The 15,194-nt window shown below is 44.6% G+C and overlaps 1 protein-coding gene across 2 annotated transcripts in view; it reads left to right on the top strand.

The window, feature by feature from the left end:
* SBNO1 (strawberry notch homolog 1) overlaps positions 1–15,194 on the top strand; it is a 75,739-nt gene that overhangs the window by 1,498 nt on the left and 59,047 nt on the right. For both annotated transcript variants that reach the window (NM_018183.5, NM_001167856.3), the window contains exon 2: positions 12,909–13,040. In NM_018183.5, coding sequence (NP_060653.3) covers positions 12,909–13,040 — 132 coding nt within the window. The remainder of the gene's footprint in view (positions 1–12,908; positions 13,041–15,194) is intronic.

Below are 15,194 nucleotides of genomic sequence, written 5' to 3'. Positions count from 1 at the left end.
AGCAATCAGAATTGATTTTCATAAGCGTAGGGAAAGCTATCATCGTTGCACAGAAGATAGCAGAATTTCCTACTGGTGACTTGAGTGGGACATTAATTTTGCAAGCAAGGGAACATTTTCTCTCATCTTTTAAAGAAGTTGTTTCCAAAATTTTTCCGATGGGAGACGACTTTACTTTTTTTCTCTGGCTTCTGCTTTTTATCTTCCATTCCAACTTATTCCATATAATTGCGTTTGGAATATTTATGCTATTTTTAAATTTTTGAGACAGGGTCCCACTCTGTTGCTCAAGCTGAAGTGCAGTGACGTGGTCATAGCTCACTGCAGCTTGAACTCCTGGGCTCAAGCGATCGTCCCACTTCAGCCTCCGGAGTAGCTGGGACTACAGATGTGCACCACTACAGCAGCTAATTTTTTTTTTTTTAATTTTTTTGTTGAGAGGCGGGGGTCTCACCATGTTGGGAGGCAGCTACTGGCCTCAAGCAATCTTCTGGCCTCCGCTTCCCGAAGTGGTGGGATTACAGGCATGAGCCATTGTGCCTGGCCCCTTCAGAATCTTTTTTTTTTTTTTTTTTTTTTTTGAGGCGGAGTCTTGCTGTGTTGCCCAGGCTGGAGTGTAGTGGTATGAACTCGGCTCACTGCAACCTCTGCCTTCAGGGTTCAAACAATTCTCCTGCCTCAGTCTCCCTAGTAGCTGGGATTGCAGGCATGTGCCACCACACCTGGCTAATTTTTTTTTATGTAGTTGGCAGAAAGGGGTTTCACCATGTCGGCCAGGCTGGTCTCACACTAGTGACCTCAAGTGATCCACTCACCTCTGTCTCCCGGAGTGCTGGAATTACAGCCGTGAGCCACCGCCCTTGGCCCCCCCGTCAGAATCCTTTTTTTTTTTTTTTTTTTTTTTTTTTTTTTTTGAGACGGAGTCTCGCTCAGTGGCCCAGGCTGGAGTGCAGTGGCACGATCTCTGCTCACTGCAAGCTCCGCCTCCCGGGTTCACGCCATTCTCCTGCCTCAGCCTCCCAAGTAGCTGGGATTACAGGTGCCCGCTGCCACGCCCGGCTAATTTTTTGTACTTTTAGTAGAGACGGGGTTTCACCATGTTAGCCAGGATAGTCTCGATCTCCTGACCTCGTGATCCGCTTGCCTCGGCCTCCCAAAGTGCTGGGATTGCAGGCGTGAGCCACCACGCCCAACAGAATCTTTTTTTTTTGAGGTGGAGTCTCGCTCTCTCGCCCAGGCTGGAGTGCGGTGTCATAACCTTGGCTCACTGCATTCCTCTGCCTCCTGGGTTAAAACGGTTATTCTGCCTCAGCCTCCCAAATAGCTGGGACTACAGGCGCGTGCCACCATGCCCGGCTAATTTTCGTATTTTTAGTAGACACGGGGTTTCACCATATTGGCCAGGCTGGTCTCAAACTCCTGACCTGGTGATCCGCCTGCCTCGGCCTCCCAAAGTGCTGGGATTACAGGCGTGAGCCACCGCGCCTGGCCTCAGAATCTTAAATAAATCTTCACTTTAGTTGCTGAAGGGGAGACACTGAGTTAGTGGCCTACTATTCATTCATTCATTCATTGAATGCGGTTATATGTCAGGCAATTTTGTATTTTTTTTTTTTTTTTAGACTGTCTTGCTCTGTCACCAGGCTGGAGTGCAGTGGGGTGATCTGAGCTCACTGCAACCTCCCGCTCCTTGGTTCAAGTGATTCTCCTGCCTCAGCCTCCTGAGTAGCTGGGATTACAGGTACACGCCACCACGCCCAGCTAATTTTTGTACTTTTATTTATTTATTTAAATATTTTTTGAGATGGAGTTTTGCTCTTGTTGCCCAGGCTGGAGTGCAATGGCGCGATCTCGGCCCACTGCAACCTCCCCCTCCCGGGTTCAAGTCATTTTCCTGCCTCAGCCTCCCGAGTAGCTGGGATTACAAGCATGAGCCACCACGTCTGGTTAACTTTGTATTTTTAGTAGAGACGGGGTTTCTGCATGTTGATCAGGCTGTTCTTGAACTCCCGACCTGAGATGATCCACCCACCTCCGCCTCCCAAAGTACTGGGATTACAGGCGTGAGCCACCATGCCCAGCCTTCTTTCTATTTTTTATTTTTTTGAGACGGAGTCTCACTTTGTTGCCCAGGCTGGAGTGCAGTGGTGTGATCTCTGCTCACTGCAACCTCCACCTCCCAGGTTCAAGCAATTCTCCTGCCTTAGCCTCCCAAGTAGCTGGGATTACAGGCATGTGCCACCACGCCCAGCTAATTTTTGTATTTTTAGCAGAGACGAGGTTTTACCATTTTGACCAGGATTGTTTCAATCTCTTGATCTCGTGATCCGCCTGCCTCGGCCTTCCAAAGTGCTGGGATTATAGGCGTGAGCCACTGTGCCCGGCCAATTTTTGCATTTTTAATAGGGATGGGGCTTCACCATGTTGGCCAGGATGGTCTCGATCTCCTGACCTCGTGATCTGCCTGCCTTGGCGTCCCAAAATGCTGGGATTACACGTGTGAGCCACTGTGCCCAACCTGTAGGTTTTAAGTGCCTTACTGAAAGTACTGTTGAAAAAGGGGCAGCATGCAGATTCATTTTATGCTTTAAAAAGTGGTTTGTCTCGGCCAAGCTTGGTGGTGCACGCCTGTAATCCCAGCACTTTGAGGGGGCCGAGGCTGGTGGATCACGAGGTGAGGAGATCCATACCATCCTGGCTAACACGATGAAACCCCTGTCTACTAAAAATACAAAAAATTAGCTGGGCGTGGTGATCCGCACCTATAATCCCAGCTACTCTGGAGGCTTAGGCAGGAGAATCGCTTGAACCTGGGAGGCAGAGGTTGCAGTGAGCCGAGATTGCGCCACTGCACTCCAGCTTTGGCGACACAGCGAGACTCTGTCTCAAAAGAAAAAAGTGGTTTCCCTCAGAGTTTAGCTACAGATATGTTTAGGCATTTCTTAGCATCTAAATTGAGCTTCGATTTGTGACTTGCCACCTGTGAAGATGGAGAACACTCAGGGCTAGTCCTACTGAGTAACCTCACATTCCATGAGGCTCTGTGGGTTCCCATGCTTTGCCTTTCTAAAGTTGGTGTAAAGATACATTTTTTTTTTTTTTTGAGATGGTGTTTCACTCTTGTCACCGAGGCTGGAGTGCAATGGTGCAACCTTGGCTCACCTGCAAGCTCCGCCTCCCAGATTCAAGCGATTCTCCTGCCTCAGCCTCCCAAGTAGCTGGGATTAACAGGCGCCCACCACCATACCTGGCTAATTTTTTTGTGTGTTTTTAGTAGATACAGGGTTTCATCACGTTGGCCAGGCTGGTCTCGAACTCCTGACCTCAGGTGACCAACCGGCTTGGCCTCCCAAACTGCTGGGATTACAGGCTTGAGCTACCATGCCTGGCCAAAGATAATTTTTAAGAGTAATTACTTTAGCATTAAATACCAATTAATAACTATCTAAAATGATGTAATCCTAAAGTTTTTGCAGTTGTCTTTGTTTTTATATGCTGATTGACAGATGCAATTTGTTGTGGCTTGAACTCACCAAGTGTTAAGACAACCTTAGGGATACCACTGAAATTTCCTTAAGTGGAAAGGATGGGCTCTTAAAGATCAGGAATTCTCTTTTATGAATAAGATATGGTATGAAACCTATCAAATTAACTTATTTATTGGGAGGCAATATATAGATCAGAGTCATGCTTTTCAAATATTTTTATTGCATCCCACAGTAAGAAATGCGGTTTACATTGTGACCTAGTATACATATACCCATACAACTATATATATATCTTTTTTTTTTTTTTGAGACGGAGTCTCCCTCTGTTGCCCAGTCTGGAGTGCACGAGTGCGATCTTGGCAACCTCCACCTCCTGGGTTCAAGTGATTCTCCCACCTCAGCATCTCAAGTAACTGGGATTACAAGTGTGTGCCACCACGCCCAGCTACCTTTTTTGTGTATTTAGTAGAGACATATATGTATATGTTGGCCAGTGTATATGTTGGCCAGGCTGGTCTCGAACTCCTGGCTTCAAGTGATCTCATCTTGGCCTCCCAAAGTGCTGGGATTACAGGAGTGAGCCACCGCACTCAGCCTATACTGAGCTATTTTAAAATGCTGATACAGTAGGCTGGGTGCGGTGGCTCACTCCTGTAATCCCAGCACTTTGGGAGGCTGAGGCGGGCTGATCACGAGGTCGGGAGATGGAGACCATCCTGGCTAGCACGGTGAAACCCTGTCTGTACTAAAAATACAAAAAAATTAGCTGAGTATGGTGGTGGGCGCCTATAATCCCAGCTACTGGGGAGGCTGAGGCAGGAGAATCACTTGAACCCGGGAGGCAGAGCTTCCAGTGAGCCAAGATCTCGCCTCTGCCCTCCATCCTGGGTGACAGAGCAAGAGTCCATCTCAAAACAAAACAAAACCTGATACACCAAATTGATTTGACACCCTGCTAATGTGTTGTCATCAGTAGTTTGAAAAGTACTGGAACAGGGTTGGGAGTACAGGATCTTGGAGTGATGTGGTGTCAGACCTTCTGAATTTGTAATTCTATTCCAAGCTCCCTTTGTTGTATTTCATTTTTCTTCTTCTTTTTTTTTTTTTTTTTTTTTTTTTGAGACGGAGTCTTGCTGTGTTGCCCTGGCTGGAGTGCAGTGGCGCGATCTTGGCTCACTGCAAGCTCTGCCTCCTGGGTTCACGCCATTCTCCTGCCTCAGCCTCCTGAGTAGCTGGGACTACAGGCGCCTGCCACCGCGCCCGGCTAATTTTTTTCGTATTTTTAGTAGAGACGGGGTTTCACTGTGGTCTCTATCTCCTGACCTCATGATCCACCTGCCTCGGCCTCCCAAAGTGCTGGGATTATAGGCATGAGCCACCGCGCCTGGCCCGTATTTCATTTTTCTAAGCCTTGGTTTATAAATTGTGACAAAGGGATAATGGGTAGCATTTGATACTCATGGGTTATCTTGAAGGTTAAAAGAAAAAAACACACCCATATATGGGTTGAGCATCCCTAATCTGAAGATTCAAAATCTGAAATGTTCAAAATCTGAAACTTTCAGCACTGACATGATGCCACAAGTGGGAAATTCCACTCTTGACCTCACGTGAGTGATCACAGTCCAAAATGCAGTCAAAACTTTGTTTCATGCACATTTTAAGGTACTGTATAAAACTATCTTCAGGCTATGTGTATCTGGTGTATATGAAACATAAGTGTATTTTGTGTTTAGACTTGGGTCCAGTCTCTAAGATATCTCATTATGTATGTACAGGTATTCCAAAATCCAAAAAACCCTGAGTCACTTCTGGTTCCAAGTTTCAGATACGGGAAACTCAGCCTGTAGTGAGAATCAAGACAATTGACCATCTGAATTTGACTAGTGATAATCAAGAAAGTTGTTTAATTCCCCCCAACTCAATTATTTGTGTATTGCTTTTGTAAAGGACTTTTGTGGCTTTGTATATAATTTGCACATTCCTTTGTAAATATCTTCTTCCTACAGGTTTTGCAGTGGGGGTTACTTTACCAAGCAAGGTCCTATGAAGGGTAGGTGTTGAAAAGTACAGATTGCATTCTTTGTTGTTGTTGTTTTGTTTGTTTCTGAGATGGAGTCTCCTCTTTCGCCAGGTTGGAGTGCAGTGGCACGACCTCGGCTCACTGTAACCTCCACTTTCCGGGTTCAAGCTATTCTCCTGTCTCAGCCTCCCGAGTAGCTGGGACTACAGGCACCCGCCACCAGGCACCCGCCACCATGCCCAGCTAATTTTTGTATTTTTCGTAGAGATGGGGTTTCATCATGTTGGCCAGGATGGTCTCAATCTCTTGACCTTGTGATCCGCCTGCCTCAGCCTACCAAAGTGCTAGAATTACAGGCGTGAGCCACCATGCCTGACTGTTTGTTGTTTTGAGACGGAGTCCCACTCTGTCGCCCAGGCTGGAGTGCAGTGGTGCAGTCTCGGCTCACTGCAACCTTCACCCCCTGGGTTCCGGTGTTCTCCTGTCTCAGCCTCTGGAGTAGCTGGGATTACAGGCACGCCACCATGCCCGGCTAATTTTTGTGTTTTTAGTAGAGATGGTGTTTCACTATGTTGACCAGGCTGGTCAGGTCTCGAACTCCTGACCTCAAGTGATCTGCCTGCCTCGGCCTCCCAGAGTGCTGGAATTACAGGCATGAGCCACCATGCTCAGCCCAGATTACATTCTTTTAGATAAAGGAAATTCTTGTAAACTAACTTCTTTGTAACTGCTGTTTCTTTCTCCTGATGTTCTTAAGTGTCTACTGCACACAGTAGACACTTAATATTTGTTGATGAACTGTATCTCTAACTGGATCATTATCTTAAAATTCTTAAACTAAATGTCAGTCATATCACAGCTGCATAAAAGCACAGATAAAGCTGAATCTCGAATCAGACATGCTTAGCACTCTAAGGAGAAAAAAATCCTTTTTGTTATTAGCTAAGGTGAAGATATTTGCTAAGTGATAGTATCCGTGCACATTTAAAAATGTCCACCAGTTTATTCTAAATTTAGTAACTGATTGGTCAAGTTGGATGTGTAGCAGTAACACTTTAAGATAAAAAGGGACTAGTATTTTATATAATTGATATGTGCAGGGCACGGTGGCTCACGCCTGTAATCCCAACACTGTGGGAGGCCGAGGCGGATGGATCAATTGAGGTCAGGAGTTTGAGAACAGCCTTGCCAACATGGTAAAACCCCGTGTCTACTAAAAATACAAAAAAATTAGCTGGGTGTGGGGGCACGCGCCTGTAATACCAGCTACTCTGGAGTCTGAGGCAGGAGAATCGCTTGAACCCAGGGGGGCGGATTCAAGGTTGCAGTGAGCTGAGATCGTGCCATTGCACTCCAGCTTGGGTGACAGAACAAGACTCCATCGCAAAAGAACAAACAAACCCAAAGACTAGTATGAAAGTTAATTATTTAATGGATTGCTAACAAAGTTTGTATTCTGGGGAATAAAGTGCTGAATCAGTGATATGGGAGTAAACATCTTTTTTGGATGAAATACTAACATATATATAAATGATAGTAGCTAGCTAGTAGCTAACATTTACTCCAGGTAGTATCACATTTACTTCACACAGTAATCCTATGAAGGAAGTTCTATTTGTATTATTTTAAGATGAGGAAACTGAGTCAGAGAAGTTCTCACTTGACCATATCATACTACTAGTGGGCAATGCAGCCAGTATTTGAACCTAGGTATTTTGTCCGACTCCATGATCTCCTCAGCCACTGTGGTGTGCTACTGCTATTGTGGACATGTCCCTGGTGTCTGCTCAGAGCTGTAGAGATTGGTTTTAGGTCTCAGCAAGAGGAACCTTGTCCCCCTTGGTAACTTTCTGTGTTGGTATTCTGAATGGGAACTATATCCTTCCATTCTTCTGGTTGGCTATTGTTTCTCAGTATTCTCTTCCTGCCAAAACTAGCTCTTAGTTTTTCTCTACTGCTGTGTCTTTGTGTCTTACTTATCATAGAAGTTTTCATAGGCGTACTGTTTTGAAATAGGTCATGTTTTCAAATGCTTTCGTTTATTTTTCATTTTTTTGGGACAGGGTCTCACTCTGTCACCCAGCCTGGAATGCAGTGCCATGAACATGCCTCACTGCAGCTTCGACCTGCTAGGCTCAAGGGATCCTCCTGCCTCAGCCTTCCAAGTAGCTGGGACCACAGGTGCATGTCACTGCACCCAGCTAATTTTTTGAGGTTTGTTTTTATTTTTTGTTGGAGATGGAGTCTCGGTCTGTCGCCCAGGCTGGAGTGCAGTGCTGCGATCTTGGCTCACTGCAACCTCCGCCTCCCGGGTTCACGCGATTCTCCTGCCTCAGCCTCCTGAGAAGCTGGGATTACAGGCGCCCGCCACCACACCTGGCTATTCTTTGTATTTTTAGAGGAGACGGTTTCACCACGTTGGCCAGGATGGTCTCAAACTTGTGACCTCAGGGGAGCCACCGTGCCCAGCGTTTTTTTATTTTTATTATTTTTTATTTTATTGTTAAGAAACAGGGTCTCAGCTGGGCATGGTGGCTTATGCCTGCAATCCCAGCACTTTGGGAGGCCCAGGCGGGCGGATCACGAGGTCAGTAGATCGAGACCATCCTGGCCAACATGATGAAACCCTGTCTCTACTAAAAATACAAAAATTAGCTGGGTGTGGTGGCACGGGCCTGTAGTTTCAGCCACCTGGGAGGCTGAGGCAGGAGAATTGCTTGAACTTGGGAGGTGGAGGGTGCAGTGAGCTGAGATCGCGCCACTGCACTCCAGCCTGGGCGACAGAGCAAGACTCTGCCTCAAAAAAAAAGAAAAAGAAACAGGGTCTCCCTTTGTTGCCCAGGCTGGTTTCAAACTTCTGGACTGAAGTGATCCTCCTTCCTTAGCCTCCCAAAATGCTGGGATTATAGGTGTGAGTCACCGCACCCAGCTTTCAAATGTATTTATGATAAAAATTGAACTCTTTTTTTTGTCCATTGTTTGAGAGAGAGACCTTCCGTGGTTAGTAACTTGGGTTTGTCAGACTGCTCCATGGTAAATGTCATCTGAGGTCTATGAATTCCTTTGTAGACACACTAACACAGTTCTCTTGTACCTAACAGTATTTAGCATTTATATGGTGCTTTGTGACTTAAAAGTGAAAATGTTTTTCCTCCTATGAACAGGTCTTATTTGTAAAATGAGGAGGAGATTGGCTAATACAAGTTTTTAAGGGCTCTCTCAGTTTGAGCACCAAAATTCTGTGAGTCTATAATAGTTTCTGAATAGAAATATAATTACATACTAAGGGTTTTGCCTAATGGAGTTAGAGAATGGGATAGATGTTCTCTCTCTGTCCCCTTTCCCTCCTTCACCCTGCAAAAAAAGAACAAATAGAGAATTTGTGCCCGTTTGGCTGAGAAATGATCCCTAGTATTCCATTTATGTATAAGATATATATTAGGATTAAAATCTCTTTCATTAGTAGCTTGTAAAAGACAGTGTCTTTTACAGACGTTGTTATTCCCAGGTCATTCATCAGATTAGAGGGTCTTAAATTGTTACTTATTTTAATTGAACAGTAAAAATTGTCCATATGGTGTATAACATGTTTTGGTATATACAAGTATACATTGTGGAATGGCTAAGTCAAATTGTGATTCCTATGAGTGAGTTCTAAGCTGGTCACCGATAATGTTATTTATAACCGTTGCTCTCTTTCTTACATGAACATCAAAAAGTTTCTCAGTAAAATTTTTTTGTACTTAAATGCTCATTGTTAGGAAAACATTTCAGAAAGCTCTCATGAACTGAATAATAGTTTGCAGTGAATATGCATTTCATTGATTAATGGCATCTCTACACTTTTGAATATTATTAGATAGGGCTTGGTGTATAGCTCATGGACTGATGGATCCTGTGGCCTGCAGGGGCTCTGTGGTCTGTAGTTTTGGAAGTCACTGGATTAAAACAATGTACTTCTGTTTCAAATGTAAATAAATCATTTCCAGTATTTATTTTAAAGAGATGACATTTTGATAGTCTCCAGAGTTCTATTAATCTGGGTCAAGATTATCTGTAGCCAGTGGGCCAAGACCCTATTTTAGTCTTAACGAAGTATTTTATGGATTGAAAATGTTAAAAGCATTGATTTAGAGCTCTAGGTACTTGTTCGTATTATGCAGTAGGATAATTTGTAAAAGTATGGTCAAATGTGTCTATATTAGAAAAATTAGTTAACTTGGTCTTTTTTTTGAATCAAAAGTCATCAGGCAAACAACTTTATTTGAAATCTATATTGGGACATTTCTCCTGTTAACTCTGTCATTCATTTCCTTCATGTTATTTATATCTTGCTGTCTAATACTTTATTCCCCCTCCAATTTTAATCTCAATCTGGCGTTTATTTTGAAATAAAATAATGAAACATCGTAGTTTACCAACATCAACTTTATCTACTCATTGGAAAGAAAACTTCGTGGATTTTGGGAGTTTGAACTATCTAGTTTCTAATCTTCTACCACTTCCTGCGTGAGTGAACTTCGGTAGATGATTTAAGTTTTCTGACCCTCAGTTTCAGCTCTTAAATTATATTACCTATCTCACTCAGGGTTGTTTTGGGCTTGAGTATGGTAATGTTTATGAAGAATTTAACACGGTGCTAGGCTTGTTTCCTTCCTTCCTCACTCCCTGCCCAAAATGGTTTTCTTCCTCAGGTTGCTTTTCCTTTTTCTGGAAAATTATGGAGAAATCTCCTTTGGGAGGCTGGGCGCGGTGGTGCACGCCTCTAATCCTAGCACTTTGGGAAGCCGAGGCGGACGGATTGCCTGAGCCCAGGAGTTTGAGACCAGCCTGGGCAATACGGTGAAACCCCATCTCTACTAAAATACAAAAAATTAGCTGGGCATGGTGGCGGGCGGCTGTAGTCCCAGCTACTCGGGAGGCTGAGGCAGGAGAATTTCTTGAACCTGGAAGGCGGAGGTTGCGGTGAGCCGAGATCGCGCCACTGCACTCCAGCCTGGGTGACAGAGCTAGACTCCGTCTCCAAAAAATCTCCTTTGGGGTGTCTGTTTTTCCTCCCACTCTTCTACACAGTGGTCTGCCCTCTTTCATTCTGGGTATCTGGTTTTCACCTTAGACTCACTCATGTTTCCATTAGAACATCTGTCTAAATGATACACAAACGTAGGTGACATAGACGCAGTAGAGGATTTCTTTGTTAAATGCTTTCATCTGAAACAGTTCTTACATGCTAGAAGTCATGCTCAGGCCGGGCACAGTGGCTCACGGCCTGTAATCCCAGCACTTTGGGAGGCCAAGGTGGGTGGTTCACCTGAGGTCAGGAGTTCGAGACCAGCCTGGCCAACATTGTGAAACCCTGTCTCTACTAAATACAAAAATTAACCAGGTGTGTTGGTGGGCGCTACTTGGGAGGGTGAGGCAGGAGCATCAGCCCGGGAGGCAGTGGTTGCAGTGAGCCGAGACCGCGCCATTGTACTCCACCTTGGGCAACAAGAGCGAAACTGCGTAGTCATGCTGATCGTACTCTTGGCTAATGCCATTTTTGTAGGACATCATGAAACACTGACACTTAATTTTATCACAGTCTGAGAACAAATGGACTAGCTGAAAATTAGTATATTTATGTAACATGAAATTAGTTTTCTGAGAAGAGTACAGATTTTTCATAAGTATGTTTGTATATGTAAATTGGTTATTTCAGGGAAATTAATGAGAAAAGTTAAAATTTAGAAAGCTCTTTTTCCCCCCTATAAAATGGGTAAAAATCCATGGCAGCAGAATAGTTTGGCCCCTGAGATTATAGTTGGAAAAACTTCCAAACTAAAATCTGTCTACTTGCTTTAAATTGGCTTTAGCCCCCCACCCCGGCAAACTCCATAGAACTCATCCTTTAGGTCTTCTGGGCTCGGTGTTTATTTTTTATTTTCTCTTGGCCTGACTCTAACCATTCATCAGCTCATACTTTTTCTCTGACGTGCTTCATATTCTCGCTTCCATTCTGAGTTTGTATTTAAGCTAAATGTGATGGATTTAGCTCCCTAAGTATCTTGGATTCCATTTCCCCTTCTTTCTCTCTGCCCCATGCAGTTATAATACATCTCTCTCCTGGTCAGCTATGTCAGTTTCCCAAGATGTCATTCTGCTCCTGGTCTTCTGCTCCCTCTTAGTTTGTTTCCACATTGCTGTTGAGTAATCCTTCTATTTTTTTCTATCTTTACTGAGTTGAGTTGGGGGTCTTACTCTGTAACCCAGGCTGGAGTGCAGTTGTGCAATCACAGCTCCCTGCAGTCTCCAACTCCTGGGCTTAAGCCATCCTCCCAAGTAGCTGGGACTACAGGCGTGCACCACCACACTTGGCTAATTAAAAAAATTTTTTTGTAGATACGGGGTCTCTAGGCAGGTCTTGAACTGCTGGCCTCAAGCTAACCTCTTGCACCTCCACTTTGGTGCTGGGATTACAGACTTGAGCCACAGTGCCCAGACTTGTAATCTTTCTAAATCACAAATCTGCCGTGTCAGGTAGTCCTCAATCGGAAAACTTGTTAGTAATCCCTGTTTCCCACAAGAGCAAGTGAACTCTCCAGCATGGTGTACAGGGCTGTAGGTGATACCTTCACCTCTTGCCGTTTCCTGCCTGAGCCCCATACTTCTGTTCTGAGCTTCCATACCCTTGTTGAATTAACTCCAGAGGTTTTCTTTTTCTTTTTTTTTTTTTTTGAGATGGAGTCTCGCTCTGTCACCCAGGCTGGAGTGCAGTGGCACAATCTTGGCTCACTGCAACCTCCACCTCTTGGTTCAAGTGGTTTTTCCTGCCTCAGCCTCCAGAGAAGCTGGGATTACAGGCACCCGCCACCACATGTGGCTAATTTTTGTATTTTTAGTAGAGGCAAGGTTTCACCATTTTGGCCGGGCTGGTCTCAAACTTCTGAACTTAGGTGATCCACCTGGCTTTGCTTCCTGGCGTGCTGGGATTACAGGCATCTGGCCTCCAGCCATAGTTTTTAAAGTGTGTCAAATTCTTTCATACCTCTATGTTTTGAATGCATAGTCGAGAGGATCCTTGTCCACCTGATGATTCCCTGATGCTCTGCTGCATTGTCATCTTTATAACATCTCTGCTTCCACAAAGTTCATTATTTCCTTCTCTGTTCCCGTAGCCTTTTGTAGATGCATACTTGTGCTATGATTTATGTACTTCTCTATCCTTTCTATTTTAGAGTGAGCTTGGGATCCAAGACTATTTCTCTTTTATCCTCTTTGTCTGAGACATGGCAGGTTCTTCATTAATACTGAATGAATGGGTCTAATAGAGATTGTTGGATTGTTTATATTTAGAGGGGAGTTAATATTTGTCACTTTTTGTTTTTTATGTTAATATTTAATATTTCCCTTTAAAGATGGTGGAGCCAGGGCAAGATTTACTGCTTGCTGCTTTGAGTGAGAGTGGAATTAGTCCGAATGACCTCTTTGATATTGATGGTGGAGATGCAGGGCTTGCAACTCCAATGCCTACCCCGTCAGTTCAGCAGGTAAGAGTTTTCCAAAGCCTCTCTTTCTTAGTGATTTCCGCTTACAGTATTTTTTTTTAAGATAGTCTCACTCTGTGGCCCAGGCTGGGGTGCAGTGGTGCAGTCATGGCTTACTGAAGCCTCAACCTCCCAGGCTCAAACCATCCTTCTGCCTCAGCCCCCCAAGTAGCTGGGACTATAGGCACGTGCCACCACATCCCGCTAATTTTTTGTCTTTTTTGTAGAGACAGGGTTTGCCATGTTGCCCAGGCTGGTCTTGAACTCCTGAGCTCAAGCGATTGCCAACCTCGGCCTCCCAGAGTGTTGGGATTACAGGTGCGAGCCAAGCTTGGCCCAATTTTAAATATACATGTGAAGCCTTAATTTTAAATACATGTGTTAATTTTTTTTTTTTTCTGAGACGGAGTCTTGCTCTGTCACCCAGGCTGGAGTGCAGTGGCGCAATCTCAGCTCACTGCAACCTCTGCCTCCTGGGTTCACAATTCTCTTGCCTCAGCCTCCTGAGTAGTTGGGATTACAGGCATGGGCCACGACGCCTGGCTAATTTTTATATTTTTAGTAGAGATGGGGTTTCACCATGTTGTTCAGGCTGGTCTCGAACTCCTGACCTTGTGATCTGCCTGCCTCAGCCTCCCAAAGTGCTGGGGTTATAGGCGTGAGCCACTGTGCCCGGCCAAATGTTATTTTTATGTTGAGTATTCATTTTGATTTATGAGGCAGAAAATAATAATGAAAACCAAAACATTATTTTCTGCTTTGATGTTATTATAAACGTATAGATAGTGTAAGAGATGTTTAGTGTTCTTGTGGGAGTATCTTTAATTTCCTTAATAGTTGTTTAATTATTTAGGGATATTCTTCTGTGATTTCATTATATACATTCTCTGAAAGCAAAAACGTAAGATTCTGGCTGGGCATAGTGTCTCATGCCAGTAATCCCAGCACTTAGGGAGGCTGAGGCTGAAGGATTGCTTGAGCCCAGGAGTTTGAGACCAGCCTGGGCAACGTAGCAAGACCTTGTCTCTACAAAAAGTTAAATAAAATTAGGTGGCCGTGGTTGTGTGCACTTGATGTCCCAGCTACCCAGGAGGCTGAGGTGGGAGGATCGCTTGAGCTCAGGAGTTTGAGGCTGTTGTGAATTGTTATCGTGCCACTGCACTTTAGCCTGGGTGACAGAGCAAGACCTTGTTTCTGAAAAATAAAAAAATAGACTGGTCCGAGTGCAGTGTTGTTTACAGGTAATTGATCACAGCCAGTTACAGATTTCTTTGTTTCTCCTCTACTCCGACTGCTTCACCTGACTAGCCTTAAAAAAAAAAAAAAAAAGACTAAAAAAAATTTTTTTTTCTTGAGACAGAGTCTCACTCTGTCACCCAGGCTGGAGTGCAGTGGCACGATCTTGGCTCACTGCAACCTCCACCTCTCAGGTTCAAGCAGTTCTCCCACCTCAGCCTCCCGAGTAGCTGGGATTACAGGGGGCCGCCGCCAAGCCCAGCTAATGTTTTTATTTATTTAGTTATTTGTTTTATTTATTTGTTTTTTTTGAGACCGAGTCTCGCTCTGTCACCCAGTCCAGAGTGCAGTGGTGCAATCTCCACTCACTGCAACCTCCGCCTCCCAGGTTCACGCCATTCTCCTGCCTCAGCTTCCCAAGTAGCTGGGACTACAGGCGCCCACCACCACACTCGGTGAATTTTTTGTATTTTTAGTAGAGACAGGGTTTCACCACATTAGCCAGGATGGTCTCGATCTCCTGACCTTGTGATCCTCCTGCCTTGGCCTCCCAAAGTGCTGGGATTACAGGCGTGAGCCACTGCGCCTGGCCAAGCCCAGCTAATTTTTTGTGTTTTAGTAGAGATGGGGTTTCACCATGTTGGACAGGCTGGTCTCAAACTCCTGACCTCATGATCCGCCCACCTCGGCCTCCCAAAGTGCTGGGATTACAGGCATGAGCCACCACTCCCGGCCTACAAAAATGTTTTAAAAAAGGAATTGTTAGTACCGTTTTGTGGAGATCTTGTGCTTGCAAAGATTATTACATTATAAATCTGCTGTTAGTGATTTAACGTCAGTTTGAATGTTAAACTTGATATTTTTTAATAAATGCAAACCTTGTCCTTGAAACAGAATTTACTGCTGTCCTTTTATTTTTTG

This window comes from Homo sapiens, chromosome 12 (genome assembly GCF_000001405.40).
Source record: "Homo sapiens chromosome 12, GRCh38.p14 Primary Assembly".
NCBI lineage: Eukaryota > Metazoa > Chordata > Mammalia > Primates > Hominidae > Homo > Homo sapiens.
The sequence above is the reverse complement of the archived record's forward strand: the minus strand, read 5'-3'. Positions and strand labels throughout refer to the sequence as shown.